The sequence below is a fragment of the Homo sapiens genome, chromosome 10 (genome assembly GCF_000001405.40).
Source record: "Homo sapiens chromosome 10, GRCh38.p14 Primary Assembly".
In the NCBI taxonomy this organism is placed as follows: domain Eukaryota; kingdom Metazoa; phylum Chordata; class Mammalia; order Primates; family Hominidae; genus Homo; species Homo sapiens.
Genome location: NC_000010.11, coordinates 11,651,645 through 11,667,901, shown reverse-complemented (window position 1 = coordinate 11,667,901; position 16,257 = coordinate 11,651,645). Strand labels below are relative to the sequence as shown.

Sequence of the window (16,257 nt, the reverse complement as noted above, 5' to 3'; positions counted from 1 at the left end):
ATATTTATATACAGATGTATATAGTTTTCTGCAGACATTTACATAAATAATGTCATGCTCTCTGTGGTGTTCTACAACGTACAGCTTTCAGTTAACGATATGTCTTTCCCTAAAACCATTTATGTGGTCTTTTCCATATAAATCTTCATTTTTTTTTTTTTTTGACATGGAGTCTCTCTCTGTCACCAGGCTGGAGTGCAGTGGCGTGATCTTGGCTCCCTGCAACCTCCACCTCCCAGGTTCAAGCAATTGTCCTGCCTCAGCCTCCCGAGTAGCTGGGACTACAGGTGCCCGCCACCACGCCCGGCTAATTTTTGTATTTTTAGTAGAGACAGGGTTTCACCATGTTGGCCAGGATGGTCTTGATCTCTTGACCTCATGATCTGCCTGCCTCAGCCTCCCAAAGTGCTGGGATGACAGGCGTGAGCCACCGTGCCTGGCCTACATTTTCATTCTTTATTTTACTGCTGGAATTCAACCAGTCTCCCTAATGATGGCTATGTAAATTGTTTCTATTTTTGTTTATATTTTAAACATCGTTGTAATAAACATTTTTTGATGGTTTGTGCACACACCTGAGTAGCTCTCTAGGACAGATGGAAACCAGGACAGATACCTGGTAGTGAATTGCTGGTTAAAGGCATGGACTTTTAATAAAGATGGATAGTGCCCAGTTGCCATCCAAAACAAGTGGTATAAGTATAGATCAACAGTGCATAGGAGAGAACATATTTCTCTACCTTGGATATGGACAATTTTGAAATCTTTACCACTCTGCTTTGGACAGACATCATATCCCATCATTTACTATAATTGGCATTTCTATGGGAATTAGTGGGATTGAACAACTGCATTCACCATTAGTATTTTCTTGTGTGAATTGCCATGATATTCTTAAATCTGTGTTGACTTTCAAACACACATCCCCTCTATCTTTTATTTCTCACTAAGATTGCCTGTTTTTTTTATTTCAGCAAATGTGTGCACGCATAATTACAGAAATATGTGTGTTGTTTGAGGGAGTTGAAACGGAAATGCTTCTAGGACCAGCCCCCTCCTAAAAGGTGCTTTTTACCTGGGTGTCTCACCAAGGGTAAATTCTGCTGGGGCCAGGAGACACAAAACCAGTGTCCTGCCCCGCAGGCTGAGGGCATGTTTCATTTAGACCTGATGCCTCTTTTTTGGGTTCTAGACTACAGTGGAACTGGGGGTCCTGTCCCTGATCTAAAATGGTTTGGAAAGCTTGTAGTCATTAACCACGAAATAGGATGACTTTTGCTATCCTTTTTCTCTTTGTTTTTCAGTTTGGGAGGTTTCTATCACCATGTCCTCAAGTTCAGAGATTCTTCCCTTGGCCATGTCCATTCTACTCATGAGCCCATCCAAGGCAGTCTTCATGTCTGTTTTGGTGTCTTTGATCTCTAGCATTTCCTTTTGGTGGTTTTCCAGATTTTTCCATCACTCTGCTTACATTACCATCTGTTCTTCCATGTTGTCTACTTTTTTCCATTAGAGCTCTTTGCATATTAATCCTAGTGGTTTTAAATTCCTGGTCTGATAATTCCAACATTACTGCCATATCTGACTCTGGTTCTGTTGCTTGTTCAGTCTCTTCAGGCTGTGTTTGTTAGTTTGATCTTTTGGGATGCCTCAAGATTTTTGGTTGAGAGGTGGACATGATGTAAAGGAACTTGGATAAACGGGCATTTAGTAATGCAATGGTAAGGTGTTAAAGAGGGGAAGTTGTCTGTATAGTCCTATATTGGGTCTTGGTCTTTTGGTGAGCCTATGTCCCTGGACTTTACAAGTGTTTTTCAGTTTGGGTTGTCCCCCCAGCCTTAAAGGGGACAGGTTGCTAGAAGGGGCTAGACTTGGGTATTTCCCTTCCTCTAGGTAGGTTAGGCTCTGGCTATCTAGTTTCTCCTAAGGGCAGATGTTGTTAAGAACAGAATGCAGCTGGGTGTGGTGGCTCATACCTATAATCCTTGCATTTTGGGTGGCCCAGGCAGGAGGGTCGCTTGAGGCCTGGAGTTTGAGACCAGCTGGGGCAACATAATCAGACCCCATTTCTTTAAAAAAGTTAAAAAATTAGCTAGGTTTGGAGGTGCATGGCTATGATCCCAGCTACTTGGGAGGCTAAGGTGGGAGGATTCCTTGAGCCCAGGATTTTGAGGCTGCAGTGAGCTATGAAGAAGAGCAAGACCTTGTCTAAAGGAAGAAGAAGAAGAAGGAGAAGGAGAGGAAGAAATAAGAAAGAAGAAGGAAGAAGAAGAAAGAAGAAGCAGAAGGAGAAGAAGGAGGAGGAGGAGGAAGAGAAGGAGGAGGAGGAGGAGGAGGCCGGGCATGGTGGCTCACACCTGTAATCCCAGCACTTTGGGAGGCTGAGGCGGGTGGATCACGAGGTCAGGAGTTGGAGACCAGCCTGGCCAACATGGTGAAACCCTGTCTTTACTAAAAATACAAAAATTAGCCAGGCATGGTGGTACATGCCTGTAATCCCAGCTACTCAGGCGACTGAAGAAGGAGAGTTGCTTAAACCTGGAAGGCGGAGATTGCAGTGAGCCAAGATCGTGCCATTGCACTCAAGCCTGGGCAACAGAGCGAGACTCTGTCTCAAAAAAAAAAAAAAGAAGAAGAAGAGGACGAAGAAGAAGGGGAAGAAGAAGAAGTCGCAGTTCTGGTGTGTTTCAGAATGACTCCTTTTTCCCTCTCCCTGCTGGAAGCATGAGGAAATTTTCTCTAATATTCACTGTGACAACCTTGCCACGCTCCAGGAAGTAAACTCACAAAAGTGTGGGGATTCCCTGGGACCGGGTCCCCAGAGCTTGAACCCTTAGGCTTGTCCATGCCCAGCCTCCGGCAATTCATCAATCACGGTTTCGGTTTTCCTCCTTCTGCTCCTGGGCTTCTGCAATGGTCAATTGCAATTCTCTGTATTCTCCTGTCTCTCCAATTTTGGGGCAGTGGTTTGCCCTGCGACCTTACTTTTCTTACAGATCTAAGAAGAACTGCTGCTTTTTTGATGGTTTTTTAATGACAGAATTCCCTTTTGCTTTGAGGCGGGATGATGGTAAGTCAGGTTTGACCACTCGCCCCAATTCCTTTCACAAGGCCTGATTCTAAAGGAAAGTCAGCGCACTGCTCAGCAGCAATCTAGAGCACTCAGGTCACCCTTCTGTGTGGTTTTCATTCACCTGTAGAAATGCCAAGGGCTTCCCTGAGGTCTTCTCCTCCTCCAGAGCAGATCTAAGGATGTGTTCTCCCCTGTGCCTTTGATGCTGTCATTTGCCAGCCCTCCCTCTGAGCAGAACAGGCCGGTCATGCCCTGCCCTCTTGCCTTCCAGTCGGAATGTTTTCACCCTTACCTAGACCCTCTGCTCGCCCACTCACACCAACCACAAGTCTTCTAGAACCCACTTACGTCTCCGAGCACAGTGGGATGGCTTGAGAAAGCCCTTGGGTTGGAGGCGTGGGTGGGGCGCCCACAACAGCTGCTCTCCGTGCTGTCCCCTTTCTGTCTCTTGGGCAGGGGCCCTCGTTGCTTGCTGTTCTCTCCTGGCCACACCCTTGCCACCTGTTCTCTGCCTCCTCCCACTCCAGTCCAGCTGTTTACCCCTAAACCTCCTCCCTCCTTTCTGCAACCTAACCCCCCACCGCAGCCTTCTCTGCCTGGGGATCTTCTCAGAGGTGTGGGGAGTATCGTGCTTGAGCCCTAGCGGCCCTAGGAAACCCAACAGCTACCCCTGTCTGGTGTGTTCCTCCCTGGCTCCCCACCCCTAAAATGCTCTGACACTGATCAGGTAAACGCTTCAGTGTCTAGTCACTGGGATGCTTTAAGTTCCCATATGTTCTCGTTATGTCCTGAACCTGTTGGTCCAGGTGACTGTTGTCTACCTTACAAGGGAGAGTCTTGAAAGCCAGAGAGAGAGAGACCGAGACCAGTTCTACACAGTTCTATTTATACAGTGATTAGCACAGAACCATGAGCAATTAGGAACCTAATAAATGCTTCCTGGTGGTGTAATCCTACAGGAAATCATTCCTTCATGTGTTTCTTGTACTTATCCCTTGAACTTGGTGAAAGATGGGTGGAGTAGGGGTGAGATTAAATTGAAAGTATTTTTTAAAACCTTTTCAGAAGTTGAACGTTTAATTTTTCATGGGCATGATTCCTTAGTAGATCTGAGTTGATGGATAGTGCTGGAAATGCAGATCCTATTTACAAAGCCAGGTAGGTCACTATGAGTCCTTAATGAGTTGCCATCGCACATATCTGAATGAATAGGAGTGAAGTCACCCCTTTAGTGGTGTCAAGTCATCACAGTTCTGTTTGGGAGACTTGTCATCCAAAACCAAATACAACATTAAGAGTGAAGCGTCTTTTCCCATCCCTGGGCCCTCCTGGACTCTCAAGTCTTTATATGGCCAGTGCACCTTGCTTCATGTCAGAGTTTTCTTTTAAAAGAGTGAATTTACACCATTTAGAGTTCCTTTGTAAGAAAAAAGTCTGGGCCGGGCGTGGTGGCTCATGCCTATAATACCAGCACTTTGGGAGGCCAAGGCGGGAGGATCACTTGAGGTCAGGAGTGTGAGACCAGCCTGGCCAACATGAGGAAACTCCCATCTCTACTAAAAATTCCAAAAAAAAAAAAAAAATTAGCCAGGCATGGTGGCGCTGGCATGCACCTGTGATCCCAGCTACTAGGGAGGCTGAGGCAGGAGAGTTGCCTGAATCCAGGAGGTGGAGGTTGCAGTGAGCCAAGATCGTGCTACTGCACTCCAGCCTGGGCGACAGAGCCAGACTCCGTCTCAAAACAAAAAAAAAAAAAAAAAAGAAAGAAAAAAGAGAAAAGTCTGAGTAGACGATTATGTTACCTTTTGTAGCCTTATGTTCTTCCTCCAAGCCCTTCACAAGACACTATCAAAGTGTCACCCTGACAATTCCCCGTGTCTGTTTGATAAGGCCTGGGTCAGGGGACTGACTGAGACATAGGTATTCCATCCAGCCTGACCCAGGGACTCGCTTTGTGACTGGGAGATTCTGGAGACAAGGACATGTGGGTTTCCCCGTTCAAGTTTCAGCGTCATAAGATGGGAATCTGTACCAGTGAGCATGAGGTCTGCCAGGCTGAGCAACCCGGAAGAACAAGTTGCTGCATGAATACAGGTGGGAAGTGGGCCCTGGGTTTAGAGGATCTGCCCCAGACCACATGTCAGAGGTGAAAAATAGAGCTCAGACTTCCTGCCTCAGGGTCTCGGGCCCCGGCCAGCTGTGTGTTGGGGGCAGGAGGGAGGAAGTGGAAGGAGCCGGCTTCAAGACACTGTCTGTCCTTGCAAGTCACCAAGTGTCCTGTGCCAAGGAGCTTTTCCCAGTAGCACTGTGAAGCTTTTCTTTCTTTCTTTCTTTTCTTTCTTTCTTTCTTTCTTTCTTTCTTTCTTTCTTTCTTTCTTTCTTTCTTTCTTTCTTTCTTTCTTTCCTTTCCTTTCCTTCTTTCTCTTTCTTTCTTTCCTTCCTTCCTTCTTTCTTTCTTTCTTTCTTTCTTTCCTTCTCTTTCCTTTCCTTCTTTCTCTTTCCTTCCTTCCTTCCTTCCTTCTTTCTTCTTCCTTCCTTCCTTCCTTCCTTCCTTCCCTCCTTCCTTCCCTTCCTTCCTTCCTTCCTTCCTTCCTTCCTTCCTTCCTTCCTTCCTTCCTTCCTTCCTTCCTTCCTTCTTTCTTTCTGAATCTCTCTCTGTCACCCAGGCTGGAATGCAGTGTGCAATCTCTTTGTATTTATTTATTTATTTTTAGCAGAGATGGGGTTTCACCATGTTGCCCAGGCTGCTCTTGAACTCCTGACCTCAGGTGATCCACAGGCCTCGGCCTCCCAAAGTGCTGGGATTACAGGTGTGAGCCACTGCACCTAGCAATGTTTTTTTTTTTTTTTTTTTTTTGATACCTAGTCTTGCTCTGTCGCCCAGAGTGCAGTGGGGCAATCTCAGCTCACTGCAATTTCTGCCTCCCAGGTTCAAGTGATTCTCCTGCCTCAGCCGCTTGAGTAGCTGGGACCACAGGTGCTCATCACCATACCTGGCTGATTTTTTTTTTTTTAATGTTTAGTAGAGACAGGGTTTTGCCATGGAAGGTGCTTTCTTGCTGGCTGCATCCATGAATCACCCCATCTTTGGGCTGCCGGCCCTTGTGTTGGGGTGCTTGGACAGGTGCTGGGTGTTGGTGGTGGTGGAAGCTTGTGCCAGTCCCCAGGGCCACTGCTGACCCGCTGTGTGGGTTTTCGAGGCTGTGATGTCCTGAGCTTGTCAATCAGAATGAGGGAGGTGGGCTCTCTGGGAAGATCGCATGGGTGGTCCCTGGTGGACAGGAAGGGTCAGGGCCAGAATAGGGGTAATGAGTGGGGAGTGAGGGGCGGAGAGAGAATGGAGAGGAGAGGGGTGAACAAGCTTGTGTGTATTGGGAAAGAAAAAAAGAGAAGAGGCCAGAAGAAAGAGAGTGGGCTCCCTCATCCAGTTTCATTTTTATTTCAAAATGATTTTTCCTGCCACTCTGTCCCTGGCTGCTGCTTCTGCTCTGCTTCCTGGTGTCTGACGGCTCACTCTGGTGTGTTTGATTTCATTGTTGGCTCTTCCCTTTGTCCATTTTCTACTTTTGCAGCATTGAGCATTGAGCTAGGCTTTCCTTTTTTCCCCCCTGCTCCTGCTGGTGCCTGCAATTTCCAGAACATACTTTAGACACAGCTCTCTTCTTAGGAACTGGGTGAGAAGCCTTATTTTCGCAAGAACGTTTTTTCCTTTTCTCTGCTTTCTCTGAGTCTCACAGTTCATTTCCTCTTCCCACCAACTTCTTCCTTTCCCTCTTTCCCCTCAGCCAGAGGTATTTTTGTGTGTAACAGCTTTTTTGAGATAAAAGTCACATACCTTATATTCACCCATTTAAAGTGCACAATTTGACTGGTGCAGTGGCTCACACCTGTGATCCCAGGACTTTGGGAGGCCAAGGTGGGCAGATCACTTGAGGTCAGGAGTTTGAGACCAGCCTGACCGACATGGCGAAACCCCATCTCTACTAAAAATGCAAAAAAATTAGCTGGGCATGGTGGTGGGCACCTGTAATCCCAGCTACTCGGGAGGCTGAGACAGGAGAATCACTTGAACTTGGGAGGCAGAGGTTGCAGTGAGCTGAGATCACGCCACTGCACTCCAACCCCGGGCGTCAGAGTGAGACTCCATCTCAAAAAAAAAAAAAAAAGATAAAGTCCACAATTAAACGGTTTTTACTGTATTCACAAGATTGTGCAACCATCATCACAATCAATTTTAGAACATTTTTATCACCCCAAAAAGGCATCCTGTCCCCATTAGCAGTCACCTTCCCATTCCTCCCCTCCCCCAGCCCCTGGCAACTACCAATCTGTTTTCTGTCTCTATGGATTTGCCCATTCTGGACATTTCATATCAGTGTAATCATATAATATTCAGTCTTTTGCGTCTGCCTTCTTTCACATAGCCTAATGTTTGCAAGAGTCACTGTGTTGCAGCGTATGCCAGTATGCCAGTCCTTTTTATTTACAAAACCTGGAGATTTTGTGTGTTCAGAAGCACAGATCTGGGTTGGGGCAAGAGTCAGATGTGATGAACAGGAACATGTGGCACATAGAGAAGGATGCAAAGTGATATGTTATTGAAATGCAATGTGGTGTTTTTGCCACAATAGCACTGCAATCATATTGAAGAACATCAGCTATACCTTGGAGGAGACACAGCAAATCCAGAATGCAGGAGGATCCCCGTCCAGAAAGTTCCTTCCATGCAAATCTCAATGACCCCAAACACCGTCCACTTGTCTCAGTCCCCTTCCATCACTCTAGTCTCTCTGTGGAAAGAGCAACTCCATCCTGTGTGAAATGGTGTGCTTGGGTACCACGCCCATTAAGTTGAGCCCAGGCATGAGTATTTCAGTGTGAGTCTTGGTCAACAAGGAGGGAAATAATTTCATTACTGGAAATTTAAAACAGCCCAAGTGAGAAAGTAAGAGGCAAGAGGTAGATGGAGTTGGCTTTTTAAAATAAAAAAAAAAAAAGATATTATCAAGCCAGCAGGAGATGAAAAGAGGTCCAAGTCATTGATAAGAGAGAGCTTTGAGACTACTTGACATTGAAGCCTGATGCTGTAACAAAATCAAAGGAGAACCAGCAAGCACAGACATCCAGAGTGCATTTGGGTAAGGTGTGTGTGGTGAGGTATCATAATTAGGGTCTCTAAGTTTGCCTTCATTACCCCGACAGAGGTCAGAAACCTTCCTGAGTGCCTACCAGATACCACTCATTTTGCAAACCAGGTAATGATATTACAACAGAAACAGCTGACCATGTTTGAAGTCAAGAATTATAAACCACTGGCATCAATATGAACCATGAGCTAAGAAAGGAATACATGAGTGGAATGCAAAGTTCTCCTCTTGCAAAGATATCTCAACAATTAGATTAACAGTTACAAAATCGATTAAAGTTAAATATAGTGAATTTGATGAATGCAGCTCCAAAATATGAATATAGGAAAATGGAGAAAAGCCGTTGCAGAGCTTCAAAATGGCTGACATTAGGATAGGCTGAGGTGGTTGAAAGGACAAGAAAAGCCAGGGAATGCTTTGCCATGACCTACAACCAAGAGGATTTGCTGCTGTGAATTCTGAAGTTCTGAGACTCAAAAGCGAAACCTGAATAGCTGTCATCTCCCTGGTATGTTCTCTAAGGGCTGTAAAGTGGTGTTGCCTACGCCCTAGAGTTTTACAGAATTCACAGCAGCAGTTATTTTATTTACAATCTTCTATAACCCTAAGATCCAGACACGCTTCCACGGTGCTGGATAGAAACATACCATGCTGAACTCCATTCATTCAAATACTGGACGAGCAGGTATGACTGCCCGGGTGATGAAGCCAGGTCCTGGCGACAAAGCCATGCATCCAATAGTCACGATCCTGCTCATGGAGTTTTCAGTCTATGGGTGAACAGGTATCACATGTATTTATTTGTGATTGCAGAAATGCTGTGAAGATTTTAAAGGTGTTTGAGGGTGTATCACAGGAGACCCTATGTGAATTGGAAAATTGCTGTCATCCTCTGAGCAAGACTTTGTTCCTTGATCAGGCTCATGGCACCTGCGTCTTTCTTCCTTTAAAATGAGTTCTCAGCCCTTTTGCAAGTAAACCACTTTCAGGCCACCACACCATTTTTCCAGACCTGCCCAAATATGCCCTGTCACAGGACATGGTCATAGTCTGAACTCCAGCTGAGATCCCTTCATTGTGTGACAGGAATTTCAAAACCTTCTTCTTTTTCTTTTGTCTTTCTTTATCTTGAGACAGGGTCCTGCTCTGTCACCCAGGCTGGAGTGCAGTGGCAAGATCTCAGCTCACCGCAGCCTCCACCTCTCAAGGCTCAAACGATCCCCCACCCCAGCCTCCAGAGTAGCTGGGCCCCCAGGCATGCACCACCACACCCAGCTAATTTTCCTATTTTTTGTAGAGACAGGGTTTCGCCATATTGCCCGGGCTGGTCTTGAACTCTGGGCTCAATCTACCTTCCTTAGCTCCCCAAAGTGCTGGGATTACAGACGTGAGGCACCAAGCCTAGCCTTTTTTTCTTTTTTATTGTGGTAAATATATTATGTAAAATGTAAATATACTAAAATTCACCATCTTAGTCTTTTTTTTTTTTTTTTTTGAGACAGAGTCTTGCTCTGTCACCCAGGCTGGAGTGCAGTGGCATGATCTCAGCTCACTGCAACTTCCACCTCCTGGGTTCAAGCGATTCTCCTGCCTCAGCCTCCCGAGTAGCTGGGACTATAGGCGTGCACCACTATGCCTGGCTAATTTTCGTATTTTTAGTAGAGATGGGGCTTTGTCATTTTGGCCAGGCTGGTCTCGAACTCCTGACCTCAGATGATCCACCCGCCTAGGCCTCCCAATGTGTTGGGATTACAGGTGTGAGCCACCATGCCCAGCCTCCACCAGACAAAGGTTCTGCTGTTCTTTGTGGCTGGCCTCTTTTTTGCTGGCGTAGATTCTCATTGAGTCTTATTGGACACACATACACAGCAAACTCATGGTGGCAAGGGTTAAAAGACCGGCCTTCTGGCAATAGACAATACCCACAGACACAGACCCTCCAGTCTCGGGCACTTGTAACAGGTGTTTCTCTGTGTGAATGTATTCACAGCTGAAAGAACACTGTCAGGCATTTCTGACAAGAGTGCAAAATGGTACAGCTTCTATGGAGGAGAATTTGGCAATATTTAACAAAACAAATGCAAATGAGTCTCCCTGGACTAAAATCAAGGTGTCAGTAGGGTTGTATTCCTTTTGATTCTGCAATCCAATGTCAATTATTATTATTATTTTTTTGAGATGGAGTTTCATTCTTGTCACCCAGTCTGGAGTGCAGCGGCACCATCTTGACTCACTGCAAACTCTGCCTCCTGAATTCAAGCGATTCTCCTGCCTCAGCTTCCTGAGTAGCTGGGATTACAGGTGCCTGCCACCATGCCCAGCTAATTTTTGTATTTTTAGAAGAGATGGGGTTTCAGCATGTTGGCCAGGCTGGTCTTGAACCCCTGACCTCAGATGATCCACCTGCCTCGGCCTCCCAAAGTGCTGGGATTACAGCCGTGAGCCACCGTGCCTGGCCTCAGTGAATTTATTATAAAGAAATGCCCTCTAAAATGCAAAACAACATCTCAAAAAGTGATTGATTTGGCGGTTTTTTCTTTTTTTTTTTTCGAGACAGGAGAGCATGAAGCCAAGCAGAAAGTTTTCCTAAGTGCAGGATGTTGTGCCTTTGCACGGGGTCACAAGCCCATGAAGCTAGGCCTGATGATAGGAGATGTGTTAAAAGTTCAGAGGAGCCAGGTTGGGCACAGTGGCTCACGCCTGTAAACCCAGCACTTTGGGAGGCCGAGGCAGGCAGATCACTCATGGCCATGAGTTCAAGACCAACCTGGCCAACACAGAGAAACCCTGTCTCTACTAAAAACATAAAAAATTATCTGGATGTGATGGCACACACCTATAATCCCAGCTACTCGGGAGTCTGAGGCATGAGAATCACCTGAACCCAGGAAGCAGAGGTTGCAGTGAGCCGAGATCACGCCACTGCACTCCAGCCTGGGTGACAGAGCGAGACTTTGTCTCAATGACAACAACAACAACAAAAGTTCAGAGGAGCCTGCTTGTGGGGACTCTGCTGGCTAATTTCGGGACAATTTGATTACCAAAAAAGAATAAATGACAGTGGTTTTAACACACTGAATAAAACAGGGATCCATGAGTTTCTAGGGATACTTTATATAGTGATACTACCCGCTATAGATACTATGTAGTAATACTTAAAGAAAAAAAAGTTAATTAAAAAAAAACCAATTTTTTTTTTGAGACAGTCTCACTCTGTCACTCAGGCTGGAGTGCAAGTGGCATGATCTCAGCTCACAGCAACCTCTGCTTCCCAGGTTCAAATGATTCTCCTGCCTCAGCCTCCTGTTTATATATATATATGTATATATTTAATTACTTTTTCCCCCTTTTCCCACAGAAAGAACTTAATAGTAATACTTTATAAAGGTAGGTATGCAGGGGAGGGAAAACTTCTTTATGAAGAGTGCTAGCTAATGAATGTAGACAGAATGGTAGAATTAGAAAAATTACATTTTGCAGCCATTTAATAATAATGATAAAACCACTGGCAATATTTAACAAAACAAGTGCAAATGAGTCCCACTGGACTAAAATCAAGGTGTCAGTAGGGAAGATTGCTGGGAAATAGGACAGTCACATGATTTATAAAGTCTCACTTTATCACTCAAGTGATCTTGGCATGACCAAGAGTGAGACAGTCTGTTATTCTTTGCTCCCTGCTGTGGTGGAGTGGGAAGTACACTGTGTCATATTTTGCCAAAAATGTTTAACTCAAATCTAGACATGAGGAAACAATCAAACAAATATGGATTCTGGGGGCATTCTACAAGGCAGCTTCCCTAAACTCTTCAAAAATGTCATGTAAAAAACGAAAACGAAAAAGGGAGAATGTTCTAGATAAAAGAAAGCTAAAGAAACATGAGAACCAAGTGAGCTGTAAGAGCCTTGATTGGTCTTAGATTGAAAAAGACCATGAGAAGCATTTAGTGGACAGGGAAGGAAGCTGGAATGTGGACTGCATGTTAGGGAGTGTTACTGTACCATGTTCTGTGTCTCGGATGTGATGGTGCTGGTGATGGTTTTGGCCAGGGTTTTGTAGCTGAACGTCTTTGTTTTCAGAAGATACAGGCAGAAGGTTACAGGGTGAAATACTCTGGTGTCTTGCAACTTAGTTTCAAATGTGGGGGTGGAGACAGAGCCAGGGGGAAAGGGAGGGAACAAATGATACACAATGGTAACAATTATTTGAACCTGGATGAGGGGTATAAAGCTATCCTTGTACTTTATTTTTTTTTGAGACGGAGTTTCCCTATCCCAGGCTGCAGTGCAATGGTGCGATCTACCCGGCTCACTGCAACCTCTGCCTCCCGGGTTTAAGTGATTCTCATTTCTCAGCCTCCCAAGTTCAAGATTCTCCTGCCTCAGCCTCCCAAGTAGCTGGGATTACAGGCGCACACCACCAAGCCCAGCTAATTTCTGTATTTTAGTAGAGACGAGGTTTCACCATGTTGGCCAGGCTGGTCTCGAACTCCTGTCCTCAGGTGATCTGCCCACCTCGGCCTCCTAAAGTGCTGGGATTACAAGCATGAGCCACTACACCTGGCCCCTTGTGCTATTCTTTAGCTTCTCTCTAGAAAGCCATTTTTTAAAAATAAAAAGTTAGAGGGGGAAAAAAGTTTTCCTAGCTAAAGTCACATGTCAAGGAGGCATGCAGTGGCACATGAAAGCAGACAAGCCTCTCGGGCTGATTGGCGGTACCCCCCAGAGCAGCAGAGACGCCACCTGGCACTTCAACATCATTAGCTCCATGTCCCTGTCTGTGTGTACCACACAAGCCATCATGGTGAGCACAGCAGCCAGCAGGCACCGCAGTGTGAGATTGGCGCCTGTCCTGGTGCGCCATAATGAGAAGAGCCGAGGCCAGCATTCATGGACCAGCTAGCCAGGCGCTGAGGTTTCCTCTGTGCTGAGAGAAGGCAGGGAGTTTGGTGTCAGTTCAGGCTTGGACAACTTCTGTGGGTCTTATTTGAAAACGGGGGAAAATATACCTAGCTTTATTTATGCAATATAGGTCAAATATTATATGAGACAATATCTTTATTTTGTAGATATGTCTTATTTTGTAGATGATCTCATTATATTTTATGGAGTAATATTCTGAAAATAGAGATAGGTTTTTTCACATATGGGCTGTTACAGATGTACTTGCTGTTGGTAGGTCTACTAGTTTGTGTCCTAGAAACCCAGAATTTAGAATGATTCTGTTTCTTATTATTCCTGTCAAAAGAGAGAGAGAAAAAAGCAGTGCATCTGAAATGGTCTCTGCTGTGTTACTGACTACTCCTGACACGAGAGGACTTCTTTCTTATTGGGCTTCAGTGAAAACGGATTGCACATCTCCCTTCCTCCTTCCCTCCCTCCCTCTCTCCTGCCTTCCCTTCCTTCCTTCCTTCCTTCCTTCCTTCCTTCCTTCCTTCCTTCCTTCCTCTCCTCCTCCTCCTTTTTCTTCTTCTTCTGTTAGAGATGGGATCTTACTGTGTTACCCAAGCTGGTCTCCAACTCCTGGCTTCAAGCAATCCTCCCCACCCAGCCTCCTAAAGTGCTGGGATTACCACCACTTTGGGAGCCACCGCACCTTCCTCATTGCACATTTCAAACTTGCTTTTCTTCTACTCCCTGAATATCTTTGGTCCTCGGTGCAATAGGTCACGTGACGGCATGGCATGCCTTCTGGTCCTGCACCCTTGTGTCACAAAGCAGGGTGCATCACCCTCATGCACAGTAGGGACATTTCTGGAAGACATTCTTACACCAAGATGGCTGGTAATAATCATAGACAGAGGGATTGCGAACCACGTGGATACATGTGGCCAAACACAGTAAGATGCATCCCTAACTTAACTTCCCCTTAGCTGGAATCCAAAATGACACAGTCATTCCAATGGTACCTGTTCCAGGGGAAGTATGATGGAGAGAAAATCCGAGAGGAAAGAGATAGCAGTCTGTAATTAAAATATCCACTTTCGCAAAACAAGAGGGGAAAAAAAGAAGGAAGGCGGGAGGGAAAGAGGGAAGGGATTCTAGGGCTTTTTAGGAGCAAGTTCAAGGGCGGGAGGGCTGGGGGCTGAAGCTTAGGTTCCGTTAGCATCATGAGAAATCTGCTTCTGGATATGTTATACAGGAGGTAGAGATGACCACTGGGCAATCAGAAGTGTGGGTTTGAAGAAATGGTGGGTGCTGGTGTAGAGTTTAGGGAGTCATTCCACAATAAGTACAGCTGTGTGAGCAGATGAGTTCCCCCAAAGGAAAGTGCAAAAGGAAGAAGAAAAGAGGGCGGGGCACGGTGCCTCCCTCCTGCAATTCCAGCACTTGGGGAGGCTGAGGTGGGCAGATCACTTGAGCCCAGGAGTTTGAGACCAGCCTGGGCATCATGGCGAAACCCCATCTCTACAAAAAATTTAGCTGGGCATGGTGGTGTGACCTATAGTCCTAGCTACTTGGGAGGCTTGGGAGGCTTAGGTGGGAGGATCACCTGAGCCTAAGGAGGTTGAGGCTTCAGTGAGCCATGATTGCACCACTGCACTCCAGCTTGAGTCTCAAAAAAAAAAAAAAAAAAAAAGAAAAAGAAAAGAGGACTGAGAATAGAATCTTGGGTTATATTTAGTTATGGGGTGTAGGTAAGGAGATGGCTACAAAGTTTTGGGTCAAGAAACTGATTAGAGCAAGGATATAAAGGTGGGGTGTGAGGAATGACCACAACCAGGTTGGTTTGAGATTTTTGTCACTTAAAACTGAAAGAATTCTGATAATACCTGTATTTAAATATTCAAAACCAAATGTAAGCTTAGGCTTGTGGCTCTTGGACAACCGTAAAATCAAAACATATTAAGTACCAGCATAATTGCAAAACTCATAAAACAAATTAGCATTTAGTATGACAGATGCTATTGTTTTGCTGGAATAAAATCACTTCTATTGGCATTTATAGTAGAAAAATTATTTCTATGGTTGAGACTTCACTTGTTGGTTTGGTGATTTTGATTTTGAGTATCATGCCCATCATAATGTTTGTCATTATCTCTGTTGATAATTTTCCTTTTTAGCAAAGATGATTTTATATCATATATTTATTATTTAGAAGAGACCGTCTAATAGTACATTCCAAATATGATGGCAAAAAACTTTTAAAATATCATTTGATGGGGTACAGTGGCTCATGCCTGTAATCCCAGCACTTTGGGATGCCGAGGTAGGTGGTTCACTTGAGGTCGGGAGTTCGAGACCATCCTGGCCAACATGGTGAAACTCTGTCTCTACTAAAAACACAAAAATTAGCCAGGCATGGTGGTGCACGCCTGTAGTCCCAGCTACTTGGGAGGCTGAGGCAGCAGAATCACTTGAACCTGGGAGGCAGAGGTTGCAGTGAGCAGTGAGCCGAGATTATGTCACTGCACTCCAGCCTGGGTGACAGAGTGAGACTCTGTCTCCAAAAAATAAATAAATAATTAATTAATTTAACAGAGTTTATTAATTGAATTGATTGTTGGTTGTGCCCATTCATGATCTGTTGTAAGCTGCTGCGTGTTCCCACCCTGGGATTCTTACACTACACTCACTCACCATGTGAATATGGATTTGAAGGGTGGAACACAGTCTTTTGAGTTTTGTATGCTTATACCACCCTGTGTATTTTTTTTTTTTTTTTTTTTTGAGACGGAGGCTCTCTCTGTCGCCCAGGCTGGAGTGCAGTGGCGCGATCTCGGCTCACTGCAGGCTCTGCCTCCCGGGTTCAGGCCATTCTCCTGCCTCAGCCTCCCAAGTAGCTGGGATTACAGGCACCTGCAACCATGCCCGGCTAATTTTTTGTATTTTTAGTAGAGACGGGGTTTCACCGTGTTAGCTAGGACGATCTCGATCTCCTGACCTCGTGATCCTCCCGCCTCGGCCTCCCAAAGTGCTGGGATTACAGGCGTGAGCCACAGTGCCCGGCCCACCCTGTGTATTTTGATAACTCAGTTTCCCACCTTTTTTCTCCAATCAGAGTCCCGCAAGAGCTTTATTTCTATGCTGCAATTT

At 45.4% G+C, this 16,257-nt stretch overlaps 1 long non-coding RNA gene across 2 annotated transcripts in view, besides 1 other annotated feature; it reads left to right on the top strand.

Annotated features, from left to right (window-relative positions):
- LOC105376413 (uncharacterized) overlaps nt 1-16,257 on the top strand; it is a 70,155-nt gene that overhangs the window by 37,788 nt on the left and 16,110 nt on the right. The window lies entirely within an intron of this gene.
- Nucleotides 3,805-3,874: an enhancer, noted in NCBI's record as "active region_3020". NCBI's record gives its function as "activates an Ori minimal core promoter by ATAC-STARR-seq in GM12878 lymphoblastoid cells {active_cell/tissue: GM12878}" and the evidence as "EXISTENCE:reporter gene assay evidence [ECO:0000049][PMID:35858748]".